Here is an 18941-nt window from a genome sequence, read left to right as displayed (position 1 = left end):
AAGAAAGGACGAGAGAGAGAGAGAGAGACCCAAGGTCAGGCAAGGAAGTTTATTAACCTGCCGGGCTGTTCCACCACAGTCAGGAGGCAGCCCTGAGCTTACAAAATGAGGGGTTTCTATGGGGGAGAGAGACTCTGGGATTGTTTGTCAGTTAACTTTACCACATATCATCTCTTGACCGGCTTACAGTATATTATCTTGTGAAAATAGGAATTTACAAGAGGGTGTAACCTAGGTTTCTCCTGACCTCTCCAGTGCCGCCCGGGGGGCTATAATCAGGGTTTGCTCAGCAAGTCTGGTGACCTTGCTGTGGCGCCTAGATAAGGGTTTAGGAATGCAGCTGCAGAGTATTCAGGGTAAGGGTCAGCTGCATTGCAGGGCGGGCGGGGGGGGGGGGGGTGGCGGGGGGGGGCGGTGGTCCCTGGGGCAGCTTGTCCCTAACCATAACTACCTTCTTCTACTACCCATTCTGTATTCCCTTTGCTATCTGGAAGCACCTCAGCTGGTTGTGGCTTTTTTACCTAGTGGCGTGACCCAAACCTTCATTTCTGAAGTCTAGGCCATTTGTAGTCCTGCCTGGATTGAGTTGCTGTAGTTTCCCATTGACCTTAATTACAGGGCAGGGTGATACTAAGAGACATCCTAAAGGATCTCCTAAACTGCAGACATTCTTCCTTTCCTCCATTGTGGAGTAGTAGTCTGATTTCATCTTGACAGTCTGGGTAAATCGCCCCAGGCAACACTGTAACTCACTTCCTAACCTGTTGACTCCGAAGCTTGAGTTGCCTAAAGTAGCTCCTCAAGCCACTTTTGTATTATGTCTCCTGGTGGCAGCATTTCTCCCTCTGGAACTAAGAACTCTAGGCAGCAGAACATAATGTCACTGGAACAAGAAGCAAACATTTTGCTAGTGGGTCACTAGGGGTGATGGTGAGTGGTGCCACTTCCACTTCCACTCCTTGATTCCTGGATCTGTGAATCCTGGCTATGGGAGAAACAGTACCATATACTAGACACTGATTCAGAGCATATACAGCCTTCTGGAGAAGACTTCAGTCCTATAAAGTATTGTCACCTAGTTGGCATTGTAACTGCAACTTCAAAAGGCCATTCCGCCATTCTATCAAGCCAGCTGCTTCAGGATGATAGGGAATACGGTAAGACCAGTGAATTCCATGAGCATGAGCCCACTGCTGCAATTCTTTGGCTGGGAAGTGAGTTCCTTCATCAGAAGCAATGCTGTGTGGAATACCATGGCAGTGGATAAGGCATTCTGTGAGCCCAAAGATGGCAGTCTTGGTAGAAGAATTGCATGCAGGAAAGTCAAATCCATATCGGAAATAACTGTCTGTCCCAAGGATAAACTGCTGCCCCTTCCACGATGGAAGTAGTTCAATGTAATCGGCCTATCATTAGGTAGTAGTTCCACTCAAAACTAGCAGCCTTTTGTGTCACTCAATAAATGGGCCAGAGTAACACGCCCAAATGAGGAATGTGTTGCCTTGAAAATACAAATAAGCTCACTAGGTTGTTGCACCTCTTTCATAGTTGTAGGAGAGGCGAGATGCAACAATTTATCCTTCACCTTAGAAGGAATATCTCAACAGGCCCCACACCACTGGAGTCCTAGAAATTTCACTGAGGCAGAAGGCCCCTGAATTTTAGTCAGATTTATTTCTCACCCCCGATATGCAAATGTATCACCAAATAAGGCCAGAGTGGTTGCTACTTCTCACTCACTAGGTCCAATCAGCATAATGTCAGCAATATAATGAACTGGTGTGATATCTTGTAGAAGGGAAAAGCAATCAAGGCCTCTGTGAACAAGATTATGACATACAGCTGGAATGTCAATATACCCCTGAGGTAGGACAGTGAAGGCAAATTGCTTCTGGTGGGCCTTATGGGCAGCAATGGAGAAAAGGGCATTTGCCAGATCAATAGTTGCATACCAGGCACCAGAGGATGTGTTAATTTGCTCAAGCAATGAAACCACATTTACTATAACAGCTGCAATTGGAGTCGCCACTTGGTTAAGCTAATGATAATCCACTGTCATTCTCCAAGATCCACATCTTCTGCACAGGCCAAATAGGAGACCTGAATGGGGATGTGGTGGGAATCACCACCCTCCGTGTTTCAAGTCCTTAATTAACTATTTTCCTAGGTAGAGGCATTCTTAATGGCTTCCATTTGGCCTTTCCCACTGTAATAGCCCTCATCCCACAGGCCAGGGAACCAATTTGGGAATTCTGCCAGCTACTAAGAATATCTATTCCAATTACGCATTCTAGCACTGGAGAAATGACCACAGGATGGATCCAGGGACTCACTGGACTCGCTATAAGTCAGACCTGAGATAAAACTCCATCAATTATCTGACACCTATAAGCCCCTAGTCTAATTGGAGGGCCACAATGATTTTTTTTTTTTTTTTTTTGAGATGGAATCTTGTTTGTCGCCCAGGCTGGAGTGCAGTGGTACAATCTCAGCTGACTGCAACCTCCACCTCCCGGATTCAAGTGATTCTCCTGCCTCACCCTCCCAAGTAGCTGGAACTACAGGTGCATGCCACTAGGCCCAGCTAATTTTTTGTGTTTTTAGTAGAGATGGGGTTTCACCATTTTGGTCAGGCAGGTCTTGATCTCCTGAACTCAAGTGATCCGCCTACCTCGGCCTCCCAAAGTACTGGGATTACAAGTGTGAGCCACCATGCCCAGCCCCACAGTGATATTTTGGCTCCCCTAAAATCAATGACAGTTCAGAACCAGTATCCAGTAGCCCCCCAAAACCCTGATTATTTATTTCTTCAGAGCACAGTTACCCTGCTAAAAGGCCAGAGGTTTCCTTGAGGAAGGTTAGGAGAAAGATTAACAGTATAAATTTTCAGCAGTATAGTGGGGTCCTTCCTCAAGTGGACCTGGCCTCCCTTTCATTCAAGGGGTTCTGGGTCTATAAACTAGCTTGAGTCTGGAAATTGATTGAAGGACCATGATTCTCTGTTTTTATAATTCAAATTGGACTTTTGTTCACCTGACCTGGAAGTTTTCTGCTTATACAGATCAAGTAAGAATGTAGTAGGCTTCCTGTCGATTTCACTTCTAGGAATACAATGATAAATTAGCCAATGCTAGAGCTCTATAGGTTTCAGACTATTCTGATTGCTGTTTTGCTTCTGCTGTCCATTACTAACCATGCCCACCTTGCCTTTGATGGTTGAGTGCTGCCACTTGGCCTCTGCCACCTCAGGATCCAATTATTCCCATTGCATTTAAGTTTTCCAGTTGAGTGGCTGTGGTTCCCACTGTAAGATCTGACATACAGAGAAGAGCAATCAAAGAGCTCTTCAAGGATGCTGGTGCTCCCTTCACAAATCTATTTCACAAGGAACTGGTGAAAGGTGTGTCTTCTGGACCCTCCCAGTTGGGATGAGTAGGTCCTTACTGACAAATCCAAATCCACTCTAACATTCCAATCTCTCTAAGCCTTGGGATCCTTCCTCTACATTAAACCAAGGGAGATCAGGCATTTCCAGCTCACTCACAGTGGGCCATCTTTCGATCCATGTTTCAGCTAACCAAGCAAATAAACTATTAGAACCCTTTTTTAACTCCCTGAGCTGCAACATTAAATGCAGAATCTCTGTTTAGTGGACCCATAGGAATGAGTTCAGCCTGATCCAACTTTATGGTCCTTCCTCCATTATCCCACACTCTTTTTTTTTTATACTTTAAGTTCTAGGGTACATGTGCACAACATGCAGTTTTGTTACATATGCATACATGTGTCATGTTGGTGTGCTGCACCCATTAACTCATCATTTACATTAGGTATATCTCCTAATGCTATCCCTCCCGCCTCCCCTCACCCCATGACAGGCCCCAGTGTGTGATGTTCCCCATCCTGTGTCCAAGTGTTCTCATTGTTCAATTCCCACCTATGAGTGAGAATACATGGTGTTTGGTTTTCTGTCCTTGCGATGGTTTGCTCAGAATGATGATTTCCAGCTTCATCCATGTCTCTACAAAGGACATGAACTCATCCTTTTTTATGGCTGCATAGTATTCCATAGTGTATATGTGCCATATTTTCTTTATCCAGTCTATCATTGATGGACATTTGGGTTGGTTCCAAGTCTTTGCTATTGTGAATAGTGCTGCAATAAACATACATGTGCATGTGTCTTTATAGCAGCATGATTTATAATCCTTTGGGTATATACCCAGTAATGGGATGGCTGGGTTAAATGGTATTTCTAGTTCTAGATCCTTGAGGAATCGCCACACTGTCTTCCACAATGGTTGAACTAGTTTATAGTCCCACCAACAGTGTAAAAGTGTTCCTGTTTCTCCACATCCTCTCCAGCACCTGTTGTTTCCTGACTTTTTAATGATCACCATTCTAACTGGTGTGAGATGGTATCTCATTGTGGTTTTGACTTGCATTTCTCTGATGGCCAGTGATGATGAGCATTTTTTCATGTGTCTGTTGGCTGCATAAATGTCTTCTTTTCAGAAGTGTCTGTTCATGTCCTTCGCCCACTTTTCCATGGGGTTGTTTGATTTTTTTCTTGTAAATTTGTTTAAGTTCTTTGTAGATTCTGGATATTAGCCCTTTGTCAGATGGGTAGATTTCAAAAATGTTCTCCCATTCTGTAGGTTGCCTGTTCACTCTGATGGTAGTTTCTTTTGCTGTGCAGAAGCTCTTTAGTTTAATTAGATCCCATTTGTCAATTTTGGCTTTTGTTGCCATTGCTTTTGGTGTTTTAGTCATGAAGTCCTTGCCCATGCCTATGTCCTGAATGGTATTGCCTAGGTTTTCTTCTAGGGTTTTTATGATTTTAAGTCTAAAATTTAATTCTTTAATCCAGCTTGAATTAATTTTTGTATAAGGTGTAAGGAAGGGATCCAGTTTCAGCTTTCTACATATGGCTAGCCAGTTTTCCCAGCATCATTTATTAAATAGGGAATCCTTTCTCCATTTCTTGTTTTTGTCAGATGTGTCAAAGATCAGATAGTTGTAGATGTGTGGTATTATTTCTGAGGGCTCTGTTCTGTTCCATTGGTCTATATCTCTGTTTTGGTACCAGTACCATGCTGTTTTGGTTACTGTAGTCTTGCAGTATAGTTTGAAGTCAGGTGGCATGATGCCTCCAGCTTTGTTCTTTTTGCTTAGGATTGTCTTGGCAATGCAGGCTCTTTTTTGGTTCCATATGAACTTTAAAGTAGTTTTTTCCAATTCTGTGGAGAAAGTCATGGGTAGCTTGATGGGGATGGCATTGAATCTATAAATTACCTTGGGCAGTATGGCCATTTTCACGATATTGATTCTTCCTATCCATGAGCATGGAATGTTCTTCCATTTGTTTGTGTCCTCTTTTATTTCGTTCAGCAGTGGTTTGTAATTCTCCTTGAAGGGTCCTTCACATCACTTGTAAGTTGGATTCCTAGGTATTTTATTCCTTTGAAGTAATTGTGAATGGGAGTTCACTCATGATTTGGCTCTCTGTTTGTCTGTTATTGGTGTATAGGAATGCTTGTGATTTTTGCACATTGATTTTGTATCCTGAGACTTTGCTGAAGTTGCTTATCAGCTTAAGGAGATTTTGGGCTGAGATGACTGGGTTTTCTAAATATACAACCATGTCATTTGGAAACAGGGACAATTTGACTTCCTCTTTTCCTAATTGAATACCCTTTATTGCTTTCTCCTGCCTGAGTGCCATGGCCAGAACTTCCAACACTATGTTGAATAGGAGTGGTGAGAGAGGGCATCCCTGTCTTGTGCCAGTTTTCAAAGGGAATGCTTCCAGTTTTTGCCCATTCAGTATGATATTGGCTGCATTATCCCACACTCTTAATATCCATTCCCATACCTGTTCCCTGGATTTCTGCTCATGTAAATTAGAAAACTCGAGTAGTTGGAGCCAGCATCCAGTAGCCCCCAAAAAGTCTGATTAGTATTTGGAGCATAGCATGCCTTCTCATGAGTCATACCCTGAACCTCACCTCTAAGGGCCTGTAGGAACTAGAGTCCAGTTAGAGTCCAGAGGCAAGGACAGGTGGTGGGGATGGGTCCTGAGGAGAACCAGCATTGTCTTTCCTGGCAGCTGCCTCAAGGGAGGACATCCCTGTTTCCCCGGGGCAATGCAGGGTTAATCTTAAAGATGGAAAGGCTGGTACTGGAGTGTGTGGGTAAAAGTATGTTGCCACTACGGGGGGTGGGGATGCCATTTCCTCTGGCAAAAAAGGCTCATTAGAATTTAGGAGTTAGGTGTCCCTAGCTTCATCAGAGTCCCCCATATTCCCATCCCAACTTACAGGGTCCCATTCTTTCCCAATCAAAGCCCTCCCTTTGACAGTAGACACTTGGTGAAGCTGAGCATGAACCTTCCATTGCAGGTCAGCCACTTGCATAAGAGCTTGTGTCTGATTTTCAGCAATTTCAGCTCTTTGTCCACAGAAGAGAAGATTCTTACCCAGGGCACCCTGAGAAACTTTTTGGCTATGTATGTGTATCTAGAACCAGGAAATAGAATCCCTCAGCTCATCCTTTTCGTTCATCACTTTGCCCAGTGAACTTAGGAGCAACCAGCCAACTTCATTATATTCCTTGGTTCTCCACAAATGTTCAAAGGTATCATATATAGAGTCACTAAACTCCTTGCCTCTTAGGAACAGGGAATCAGAAATATCAAATGCATTTATTTTGCGTAACTCTAAACAGTTCAAGCCAAGGACTATTAGTGCTGTCCATACTATTAGAAATAGAGTCTTTAGCATTTGGGTCTAATCAGATTAGATATCCAACTCCAGAAACCCCAAAACCGACAAAGGAAATTTATGCTTAAAATTATGTTCCTCTAGAACCACTCCTGATACCAAAACCTGTATTAGGTTCTCCACAGGGACAGAACCAATAGGATATATGTGTGTATATATAAAGGAGTTTATCAGGAAGAATTGGCTCACAGGATTATAAAGCGAAGTCCCATGACTGGCTGTCTGCAAGCTGGAGAAACAGAAGCCGGGAGCGTGGCTCGGTCCAAGTTTGAAAGCTTCAAAACCAGGAAAGCCGACAGTGCAGCCCTCAGGCTGAGGCCTACGGCCCGAGAGCCTCCAGGAGGCTGCCGGTGCAGGTCCCAGAGTCCAAAGGCTGAAGAACCTGGAGTCTGATGTCCAAGGGCAGGAGGAGAGGAAGCAAGCATCCTGCAGAGGAAAAGAGAGCACCGGAGAGGACCCAGGAAGTTGTTTCTTCCCCTTTTCTGCCAGCTTTGTTCCAGCCACTCTGGCAGTTGATTGGATGGTGCCCACCCACACTGAGGGTGGGTCTTCCTCTCCCAGTCCAGGGACTCAAATGTCAACCTCCTCTGGCAACACCTTCACAGACATATCCAGGAACAATGCTTCCCCAGACATCCAGGCATCCCTCAGTCCATTCAAGTGGACACCTAGTACTAACCATCACAGTACCTAATTCTAAACTCATTATTCGGCTGGGCATGGTGACTCATGCCTGTAATCCCAACACCTTGGGAGGCCAACGCAGGTGGATCACCTGAGGTCAGGAGTTCAAGACCAGCCTGACCAACATGGTGAAACCTCGTCTCCACTAACAATACAAAAATTACCCAGCCTGTAATCCCAGCTACTCGGGAGGCTGAGGCAGGAGAATCGCTTGAACCCAGGAGGCAGAGGCTGCAGTGAGCCAAGATCACGCCACTGCACTCCCGCCAGGGGGACAGAGCGAGACTCTTATCTCTAAATAAATAAATAAATTCATAATTTGTACTTTTTCTTAGCAAGAACTCATGTTCATCTCCCCCTTTCTTTCTCCCATGATGTAAACTTCAGGTTTCGCAAAATTTGGAACTTGATTTACACTGAACCTGAGAGAGGGGGTGGGGTGGAGGCTGATCACACAGGAACTGGTAGACTTCGATCTGGATTTTGACTTACTCTTGAGTGAGATCCGATATTACTGGAGGGTTTTAAGCAGAGTAGTGACATGATCTGAATTGTATCTTTAAAGGACCACTCTGACTGCTGGCATTGAGAAAGACTGTCTAAAGCAGCACTGTCCAGTTGAAATATAATGTGAGCCACATAGGTAATTTTAAATTTTCTAGTACCCACATTAGAAACTGCAAAAAAGGGACAGGTGAAATTAATTTTAGTCATGTCTTTTATTTAACCTGATATGTCCAAAATATTATTTCAACCTATAATCAATGTAAAAAATGATTGAACTATTATTATACATTCTTCTTTTCATACTGTCTTTAAAATCTAGTGACTTTTTTCCACTTACAGCACATCTTAATTTGGACTAGCCACATTTCAAGTGTCCGATAGCAACATGTGGCAAGTGGCTTTAACACAAGTCAAAAGCAATGTGCCCTGGCCCCCAATCTAGAAGGTTGGAGGCACTCCTTACCCCAGCCTCTGGGCTGGTGGAACACTGTGAGGGCAGTTTCCAAAACCCCAAAGGAGTTAAACCTCCTCTGAATGATGAGGGAACATCGTAGGCTCCAATTTGAAGTTTAATAGTGATAATGTCTGATCTGTATATAGCACTTTCTGTTCTAAGTGCTTTACATATGTTAAATCATTTAATCTTTTTTTTTTTTTTTAATAGAGACAGGGTCTCACTATTTTGGCCATGCTGGTCTCGAACTTCTGGCCTCAAGCAATCCTCCTGCCTTGGCCTCCCAAAGCACTGGAATTATAGATGAAAAATTATCTGCTTTTAAAGGGCTCCCCGATTGAGTTATGCTCACTTGGATAGTTTTACAGTCAACTGGGACTTCAATTATATCTGCAAAATCCACTCATAGTAATGCCTAGATTAGAGCTTTAATTAATAACCAGGAGATAAGAATCTTAAGAATTCTGCCTAGAGTTTTTCATCAAAAATGTTAAGTCAACTTTCCACAGATATATAACCTATGTTCAGAAAAGCACCCAAATCACATCTGAATAGATTAATTTTCACACAGTAAACACACCCATATTAACTCCTACCTAGATCAAGACTTTTAAAAGTTCTTTATAAATTCTTTGGTAGGCTGCCTCTGATGGCCCACCAATTACCCTGCTTCCTGGTATTTATGCTATCTGCAGTCCCTTACCCTTGAGTGTGCACTGGATTTACTGATTCGCTTCTAATGAATAGAATGTGGCAGAAGTAATGAGATGTCACTTTCAAGGTTAAATTATAAAAAGACTGTGGCTTGGGTGCTCATTCTATCTCAGGTTGCTTGACATGAGGGAAATCAGCTGCCATGTCATGAGGCAGCCCTGCGAAGAGACCCATGTGACAAGGGACCAAGGTCTGCCTACAACTACATGAGGAAGCTTGAAAGTGGATCCCTCGCTTGGGTCTTCAGATGAACCCACTGCCCTATAGCTGGCAGCTTAACTACAACCTCATGAGAGATCTTGTGCCAGAAGTACCCAGCTAAGTTGTACCGAGATTCCTGACCCACCAAGATTATGAGATCACTGTTTTGGGGGTAATTTGTTATGTAGCAACACCTAACTACTATTGAATTCTAGATTCAAATCCTTTATCAACTACAGCTATTGTAAATATGCTGTACTACTCTGTGGCTTGCTTTATCACTCTCTTGATAGTGTCTTTTATGAATAGAAGTTCCTAATTTTAACATTCAATTTAACTACCTTTTTCTTTATTATTCTTAGTGCTTCGATTTTGTTTTAGTAATCTTTGCCTACTCCAAAAAGGGAGCTTTTCTATATTCACATTTAGTGCTTGCCTCGGCAGCACATATACTAAAATTCTAAATTCACATTTATATATAAAATCCATTTGGAATTGATTTTTGTGTATTGTTTAAGGTAGGAATCAATGTAATCAATTTTTTCATTATTGAAATCTGATTGACTCTCCATTTATTGCAAAGGCAACTCTTTCTTTGTTGCACAGAAATTTCATATTTGTCATAAGTGACTAAATATGTGTGGGTTTTTTTCCCCTGAACGTCTTTCTATTCCATTGGTCTATTTGTCCTCCTTGCAACAATATTATACTAAGTGATTGCAGTTTTACTGTAAGTCTTGATATCCGATAATGTAAATCTTTTAATTTTGTTCTTCTTTTAAGATTGTCCTAGCTATTCTTGGTCTTTGCATGCCTATATAAACTTTAGAAACAGTTTCTCAATTTCTTCATAAACATATCCAAATAAAAACCTACAGTTATTTTGATTGGGTTGCATTGAAACTACAGATAAATTTAGGGATAAATGACATCTTTCCAATACTGAATATTCTTGGTTTATTAACATGGTATGCCTTTCCATTTATTTTACTTTTCTTCATCTGAATAATATTTTGTAGTTTTCAGTGGAGAGGTTTTGCATATATTTCATTAGATTTATTCCTAGATTTTTGATAGTTTTGATCCTTCTGTAAATGATATCATTAAAACATTTTCTATTAGTTTGTTGTTGGAATGTAGGCATAAAGTTGATTTTCTTTATATTGACTGAGTATTCAGCAATCTTATTAAATTCATCTATTTATCCTAACAGGTTATTTGCTTATTCTTTAAAATTTTCTATGTACATAATCATGTCACCTGCTAATGATGAAAGTTTTATTTCTTCCATTCCAATCTTCATTCTGTCTATCTATCTATCTATCTATCTATCTATCTATCTATCTATCTATATTGGTCTGGCTAAGACCTTCAAAGCAATATAGTACATGACCAGGCACAGTGGCTAATGCCTGTAATCCCAGCACTTTGGAAGGCTGAGGTGGGAGGATCTCTTGAGCCCAGGAGTTCAAGACCAGCCTGGGCAACATGGAGAGACCCCATCTCTATACAAAGTTTTAAAAATTAGCTGGGTGTGGTGGTGCACATTAAGGGTCTCTCCTATCCCTTTTTTTTTTTTTCTTTTAACAGTACTTTGAGTTGCTGTTTTATCTCATTCTTTTTTTTTTTTTTTTTTTTTTGAGATGGAGTTTCACTCTTCTTGCCCAGGCTGGAGTACAATGGCGTGATCTCGGCTCACCGCAACCTCCGCCTCCCAGGTTCAAGTGATTCTCCTACCTCAGCCTCCCCAGTAGCTGGGATTAGAAGCATGCTCCACCACGCCCAGCTAATTTTATATTTTTTTAGTAGAGATGGGGTTTCTCCATGTTGGTCAGGCTGGTCTCAAACTCCTGACCTCAAGTGATCTGCCCTCCTCAGCCTCCCAAAGCACTGGGATTACAAGCGTGAGCCACCACGCCTGGCTTTTATCTCTTATCTTAATAAGCTAAGAGTTCTTACTACAAATGACTATTAAATTTTATCAAAAAATGTTTTGTATCTGTGGAGATTGTCCCACAGTTTTTCCTCATTTATTTTATTAAGTGGAAAACACTGATTTTCAAATGTTAAATGAATCTTGCATTCCTGGAATAAACTCCTTTTATGAAGAGGTCTTATTCCTTTCATATTTCACTGGATTCAATTAGCTAATTATTTTCTTCAGGGTTTTTATGATAGAGACTAGCATGTAATTTTCCTTTCTTTTAATGTCCTTACATTTTGGCATCAAGGTTATGCTAAACTCATAAAATGAGTTGGAAAGTGTTCCCTCTTTTTCTACTTTCCAGAAGTGTTTGGAGAAGAAAGGTGTATTTCTTCCTCAATTGTTTAAAATGATTCACTAATCTGGCCCTCAAGATTTTTTTTTTGTAAGAAGGTTTCTTTTTTATCACAAATTCAATTTCTTTAATAAATAGAAAGTCTTGTTAGTCCTATTTACTTTCTGTGTCAGTTCTGGCAATTTTTTTTTTTAAGGAAGTTGTTTCAGTAACTTTGGAGTTATTTATAATATCCTTTTTTATCTTTCTAATGTAAGATCTGTAGCAATATCTTACAAACATAAGATCTGTAGGAATATCTCATTTTTCATTTCTGATACAGGTGTTTTGTAGACAATATTTTTCATAATCTATTATTGGATCAACTGATGAATGGATAAAATGTGGTATATCCATAGAATGGAATATTATTTGGTCATAAAAAGGAATAAAGGATTGATACAACATGGATACATCTTGAAAACATTATACTAGAAGAAGCCAGTCACGAAGGACCACATAATGTATGATTCCATCTATCTGAAATGTCCAAAATAGGCAAATCTATAGAGACAGCAGATTAGTGGTTGCCTAGGGATGGTAGGTTTGGGAGATGGGAAGGAGTGGGTGTGAGTGCCAATGAGTATGGGGTTTATTTGGGGGATACTGAAAATGTTCTAAAATTGATAGTGGTGATGGTTGTACAACTCTGTGAATATATGAAAAACTACCAAATTTTATGGCATGTGAATTATATCTCCATAAAGCTGCTTAAACAAATCTATCATTGGACAGATTAGATCCTCCTTCAGTTTTGTTCAAAACAAGTTGGAAACTACCTAACTTATAAAAGGTGTTAATCATTCATTTTTTTTCAACCTCAATATCAATATTCCAATTATCCCTTTCACTGGTATCCCAGAGGCTTTTCATTCTGGAACAATGCACAATACTACAGCAAAACACTTTGATTGCAATAATTCTCAGGAAGATAAACTCTACGAAATATTTCATATGAGAATATGCCTGTGTATCCTTAGAAAAGTCTTTACATATCTCCAGGGATACTATTACCTAGCCTGAAGGCCACTCTACTAGGCTATACTGCCTCTCGGTATAGGCATGCTGGGGAGGATTGTGCCCTGTTATCTGCTAGCTGTGTGAAAATGTATTCCATGGGAAGGCCCTTTGTAAGCCAGTTGGGATCAGCATTTGAGTTGCTGACCCAGACATGGGTACTTCTAAGGTACCCATGTCTGGGTCAACAACCGTAATCCCAGCACTTTAGAAGGCCGAGTGACAAGGTCATTTCCAGCCCAGGATGTGTCAAGAGATATAGTCAGACAAGCCTATGACATCTGGAAGCCATAACAATGTAGAAAACAACCCAGATAACCTTGGTTTCATTTGGTGACAGTGAACTAAACATTGTGTAGTTCTCTACCTGAGGCTGCCTGAATGATTTCTGGCAATTAAAGGTAGATTTATATAGCTGGACAACTTGATCCCTTGTCTTTCCCCTTTTACTTTTTCGTGGCTGCATTTCATCTTTGTACCTTCGATGTCTGCTGGGTGTATAATTAGCATCCTGACATCTGAGCAGCAGTGCTTCTCAGCTAGCTTTATTTAGGGGTGGAAATATTTTTTGCTTTGGATAAACTGAGGTACTGCTTCCCCCCAAAAAACTTCCTTGTTATACTGGATATGACAGCCTTTTAACCCTTGAAACATATCAAGGACACAGAAATATCTGTGTCTAGATTGCAGTTGGAGTTACCCTGTCCTTTAAGATATACATGAAATTGGCTCAACCCCTGTCACTCTCATTCCATGGGCTATGTTAAGGTCAATGTCCTCTTCACAATTTTCTGAAAATAACTGGGAAACATTGGTTCATGTAATCACCTCTGACTTCAGCTCCTGTGAACTGTATTAGTTTGGGGATTGTCTCACTCTCTTCCCTGCTGTCCTTTCTCCCCCCAGGTCAACCTAGTCATGGAATTTAGAACTTGTTCTCTTTTGGTGGTGTGCAGGGCTGGGGAGGGATCCCCAAGTCATATGTGTCTAGCAGACTTCAAAGAAAGTTAGGTAGAAAGTAGAGATTTAATTCCAAGCAATGCAGGCAACATAAAATTGAGTATCAGATATCTGTGTTCTTAAAAGTTTTCCCATTTTTCCTACCTGCATAGGGCTCCAGACTCCTGCCTGGGGCTTGGCTGTCTCCTCTCTGTTCTGATTCCCCTATACATTGCAAAAGCTAACATCCCAACTTTTTAGGCAGAGTAAATCTTTTTTCCAATCATTCCCATGGGTCTAGGTTTCTGTCTGCATATCATATGACACAAAACTAAAGCTTTAAAATTAGTACTTAAAAGGATTCACCCCATTAAAGTCACAGACAACCATTATCCTCCTTCCCACTTTTATTTCAGAGACTAGGGGTGGGTATTTTGTTTGTTTTTAATATTAATCAGGAAGAATTCCTAGGAAAACAAAGCACTGCATATTAACTGAATAACAGGATGACGGGGAAAACTGAACCAGTCAACACTATTTATTGAGTGCCTAATATGTTCCAGGCACCAAGCTAGGCACAGAGGGAAACAAAAGACACAGTTCTGCTCTTGGGAAGCTTACAATGCTAATGGGAAAGAGAAACATCGCTCACAGAAGCAAAATGAAAATAGTAAGTGCCAAGCACCAGGAAGGTCAGATGCAGGTGCTATAAGAGTAATATGCGGCCGGGCGCAGTGGACCATGCCTGTGTTCCCAGCACTTTGGGAGGCTGAGGCAGGCGGATCACAAGGTCAGGAGATCAAGAACATCTTGGCCAACATGGTGAAACCCCGTCTCTACCAAAAATACAAAAATTAGTTGGGCGTGGTAGTGCACACCTATAGTACCAGCTATATGGAGGCTGAGGCAGAAGAATCGCTTGAACCCAGGAGGCGGAGGTTGCAGGGAGCAGAGATCGCACCATTGCACTCTAGCCTGGCAACAGAGCGAGACTCCATCTCAAAAAAAAAAAAAAAAGAGTAATATGCTACCTAGTGGGGAGGCCAGGGAAGGTTTCCCTGAGGCTGTGGCTATAGGGCTGTGATCTGAAGGCCCAGGAAGGGTTAACTTGGGGAGAGGAGAAAGAGCATTCCAGGCAGAGGGAGCAGGCCTTGCAAAGGCTTTGCGACAACAGAAAGCCCTGACAAAGGACTGAAAGAAGACCCACGTGGCTAGGGCTGCAGAAGTGTAGAGGAAGATTAGATTGGGAAGGTGGGTAAGAAATGACCATTAAGTTTCAAGCAGGGGGAACATGAGACTCAAATGTGCATTTTGAAAAAAACAAAACACACAGACTCAGACTGCAGTATGGAGAATGGGACTGGAATGTTACAAAGGCTTGAGAGCAGCTGCTAACTGCCTGTAGCACCCATGGGGAGACACGCAATTGTTAAGATTACTCAGAGCAGCATCTTATCTGTGTGTGTGTTTTAATGTAATTTTTAAACTAAATGAATACACACAAATGGTTTAAAATGTAAAATAGTGCTAATACTATTAGGCTTATAAAAAATAGCGGTCCCCTGACCATCTGTCCCCACCCCCTTGACCCTTCTGGCCCCTTCTTCCACTCTTAACTATTCATCTGGTAGTCTCTCCTCCCCACCTTCTGCTTTTTAAAAACATACTATGCTTAGAGTACTATTTGTTTTTCACTTTTAGACATTGTTTACTTCCTACTAAGGAAGAAAATAATTTTGCGATCTTACCCGCCTCCCCGCTCTATTCTTATCCTGCCAAGAGGGAACATTCAGAGCATTACCAGCGCTTCCTTTTTAGTCTTCCCATGTAAGAAAAATACTGACTCATTCATTACCTGAAAAATCCATCAATCAGTAAGGACAGAACCAGCACATTTCACGATAAATTTATACCTTTGTTAGTAAAAAAGTACCTTCACTGTACATCTATCATGGACATATTTGAAGCAGTAAGGATTTTTACCCCTAAAGTAAAAACTACCAAATTTTTAAGTTGGCATAAGAGTATTCAAGGAAATCACAATATGTCCTACTTGCAAGACATAACAAAGTTATTTGCACTGGGAGGTGAAAATAATCTTCATAGGACTAATGTCTTGGGGAAGAAGCGTTAGCAAGGTCATGAGCTGATGATACTCCGTATCATCTCCAGATAGAATACCAAGACAGGCCACTCCTATTCACTGCTGCTAGGAGTGTAAAAGAGCATGGAAACCAGTGGGCAATTCCTACCCAGAACCTCCAAAAAGAAGTCAGATTTTCACCCTCAGAGAAATCAATTCTAAGGAAGGAAATACTCAGAGATACAAGGATTTATGCATAAGAATATTCATGATAGTATTATTTATAATAACGGAAAACAATCTCACTGCCTCCAAATAAAAAAACGGTTAAGTGATACTGTATCTATAGAATGCAATAATAGAAAATCATTAAATTCATGCTTTCAGAGAACACTTAATGCCGTGGGGAAATCCTCATAATATGCTAAATGAGAAAAACAGTTGAGGTCAGCCTACATGTAAAAATATACAGGTGTACATGTGTATAATATACACACATACCAACATAGGTAGAAGCACATACAAAATATCTAAACACACGCAAAACTTTTAAAACGCATAGAATAGACAGTTTTTTTCTCCCAATATGGTCTGCCACTCATATACCTCAGAATCACCTTGGGGGCTTATTAAAAATGCAAATTCTTGGGTATTACCCCAGACGTTTGAAAACAGAGCCTAAGTCTTTGAAAACAGAGCCTAAGGATCGCTGTCTACCTACACACCCTGAGTAATTCTCACCCACCCCTCAGTTTGGGGACCACTGGATCAGAAATAACAGCTCTCTGTGGGTGAAGGAATTACGAATAATTGTCTTCTTTTATTGCATCTTAAAAAAATTCTCTACCAAACATACGCTGCTTTTATAATTCAAAGTTCATTAAAAGTGCATTAATGAGGCATGAGTATTAAACAGAGCTGATTTAGGGTCTATCTGGGCAAGTGTAAACAACTTTGGAGAATTAGAACATGCACTTCTTTTTTCTTGCGACGGAGTCTTGCTCTTTCACCCAGGCAGTGCAGTGGTGTGATCTCGGCTCACTACAACCTCCGCCTCCTAGGTTCAAGCGATTCTTCTGCCTCAACCTCCCGAGTAGCTGGGATTATAGGTGCCCGCCACCATGCCCAGCTAATTTTTGTAGAGATGGGGTTTCACCACGTTGGCCAGGCTGGTCTCAAACTCCTGACCTCAAGTGATCCGCCCACCTCGGCCTCCCAAAGTGCTGGGATTACAGGTGAACCATGGTGCCTGGCCACAAGTGTGCATTTTTTAAAATCTAAAATACAGAATGAGACTCTGTCTCAAATAATAATAATAATAATAATAAAATAAAATCTAAAATAAGTAGGTATGTATGGATTCCTTACAATTGAGTCAGTTTAGGACAAAGGAAGTAATACATTAAGTGTAGACATGGAAATCATGAGCTCAATAAATTCTGCAGGTAAAAAACATAAATAGAATAATTTTGCAACGTATGGAGAATGGCATTTCTAAAGTTCCAAGATCTTCCTTGGCAAAAAGAGGATTCAGTAATCAAATAAATTTGGGACACAATACATAATATGGTCACCCTCCCCACTTAAGAGTCAAATCCTTGGGTAGATTACAGGTTCCGAGAAGTCCAATATAAACTTCTTTCTTAATTCTAGCTCCACAAATTCTTAGAATGTCTCTATCACTGAAAACAAATTCTAGCCCAGAAGAGGGTCTAGAAAAAGTTCTCATCATGGACTGATACTCTACACTTGACCCAACATATCGTTTCCACATTCCCATGGCCTCTGAGGGCTTAGCCCATATGTATTTATAGAGCCTGATTCTAAGGGCATGGCTCAAGTCAGCTACCAAGTAATGCTCAGGAACAGCAAAATTCGAGTGCCCAGGATACAAGATTAGAACATGTGAAGCAACTACAGATTTACTTTTTATCTACTGGTCTCTTTCACTAGGCTGTGTGCTTAGGGCTGGAATTTTGCCATTTGTCTATTCATTTATGTACTACCAACACAATAAAGTCTGGCACTTACTTAGTACTCAGTGAATGGGGCACCACCAAAGAGGTGGTGTAAATTCTTTCCGGTAAGTTCAGTAATGAAATGGGCTAGTTTCATTACCATGCACCACCACACCTAGCTAATCTTTGTAATTTTAGTAGAGACGGGGGTTTAGCCACGTTGCCCAGGCTGGTCTCGAACTCCTGACCTCAAGCAATCCATCCACCTTGGCCTCCCCAAGTGCTGGGATTACAGGTGTGAGCCACTGCCCCTGGCCAAGATGGAGTCTTGCTATGTCTCTATGGACTTGAACCCCTGGACTCAAGTGATCCTCTCACCTCAGCCTCCTGAGTAGGTGGCACTACAGGCACACACCACTGCACTCAGCTCTAGGTGGACATTTCTAAGGATGTGGCAGTGACTAAGACATAATAATCTCTATCCTCAGGGGCTTCATGCATTAGAGATACTCATCTGAGCCATTCTAGTCCTAGAGTCCTAGCCTCTTGCACAAGTTTAGGTACATTAGATGTCTAATTAATGCTTATTTGAATTGAATTTAGAAACCATGGCATGCTTTATGCATGATCAAAATTTGGCACTTTTTGCGGGCAGAGTCTATAGTAAGACAGACCATTCTAGAGACTGCATCAGAATGATCATATCTTAAGTAACCAGACCTATTTTGATCATTGTTTTTTGCTTTTTTTTTTTTTTTTTTTTTTGAGAGAGGGTCTTGCTCTGTTGCTCAGGCTGGAGTGCAATAGCATGATCATGGCTTACTGCAGCCTCAACCGCCCCAGGCTCCCACCTTGGCCTCCTGAGTAGCTGGACCACAGGCACACCACCATGCCTGGCTAAGTTTTGTATTTTTTGTAATGATGGGGTTTCACCATGTTGTGCAGGCTGGTCTGGAACTCCTGGGCTCAAGCAATCCGCCTGCCTTGGCCTCCAAATGCTGGGATTACAGGCATGAGCCACTGCCCCCAGCCAATCATCACTACTTTGGAGTCTCCACAACTAGCCAGGAGTCAAAAAATTTGGCCAGAGAAGCCCCAGAACCCAGAGGAAATTGAACAGTAAGTACTACAACAGTGTTTCTAAATATGTGTGCTGTAAAGCTCTCTAGGTTCCTGAGATGTTAACAGGTAGTACCTGGTGAAATAGGACTGAGAAAGGGGTTCAACAGAGCTGACAGGCCTCTGTACTGCAGGATTTCTCAACACCTTCAAGCAATGTGCTAT

The 18941-nt window shown here is 41.5% G+C and overlaps 1 long non-coding RNA gene across 4 annotated transcripts in view, besides 2 other annotated features; it reads left to right on the top strand.

The window, feature by feature from the left end:
* LOC107985152 (uncharacterized) overlaps positions 1-18941 on the top strand; it is a 55307-nt gene that overhangs the window by 22680 nt on the left and 13686 nt on the right. For 2 of the 4 annotated variants that reach the window (XR_007066371.1, XR_002958225.2), the window contains exon 1: positions 8217-18776. The exons of 1 other annotated variant lie outside the window; for it this stretch is intronic. This is a non-coding gene — a long non-coding RNA (uncharacterized LOC107985152). Of the gene's footprint in view, positions 1-8216; positions 18777-18941 lie in introns of those variants that run through there. One more of the 4 variants, XR_001753449.3, reaches the window with a different exon arrangement.
* Positions 14602-14896: a silencer, noted in NCBI's record as "tiled region #8611; K562 Repressive non-DNase unmatched - State 24:Quies". NCBI's record gives its function as "represses a minimal TATA promoter and a strong SV40 promoter by Sharpr-MPRA in K562 cells {active_cell/tissue: K562}" and the evidence as "EXISTENCE:reporter gene assay evidence [ECO:0000049][PMID:27701403]".
* Positions 14887-15387: an enhancer, noted in NCBI's record as "H3K27ac hESC enhancer chr18:48518398-48518898 (GRCh37/hg19 assembly coordinates)". NCBI's record gives its function as "activates a minimal SCP1, AML or CMV promoter by ChIP-STARR-seq in primed H9 embryonic stem cells {active_cell/tissue: H9 hESC(primed)}" and the evidence as "EXISTENCE:reporter gene assay evidence [ECO:0000049][PMID:30033119]".

The sequence above is a fragment of the Homo sapiens genome, chromosome 18 (assembly GCF_000001405.40).
Source record: "Homo sapiens chromosome 18, GRCh38.p14 Primary Assembly".
Lineage (NCBI taxonomy): Eukaryota > Metazoa > Chordata > Mammalia > Primates > Hominidae > Homo > Homo sapiens.
This window is presented reverse-complemented; position numbering and strand designations above follow the sequence as displayed.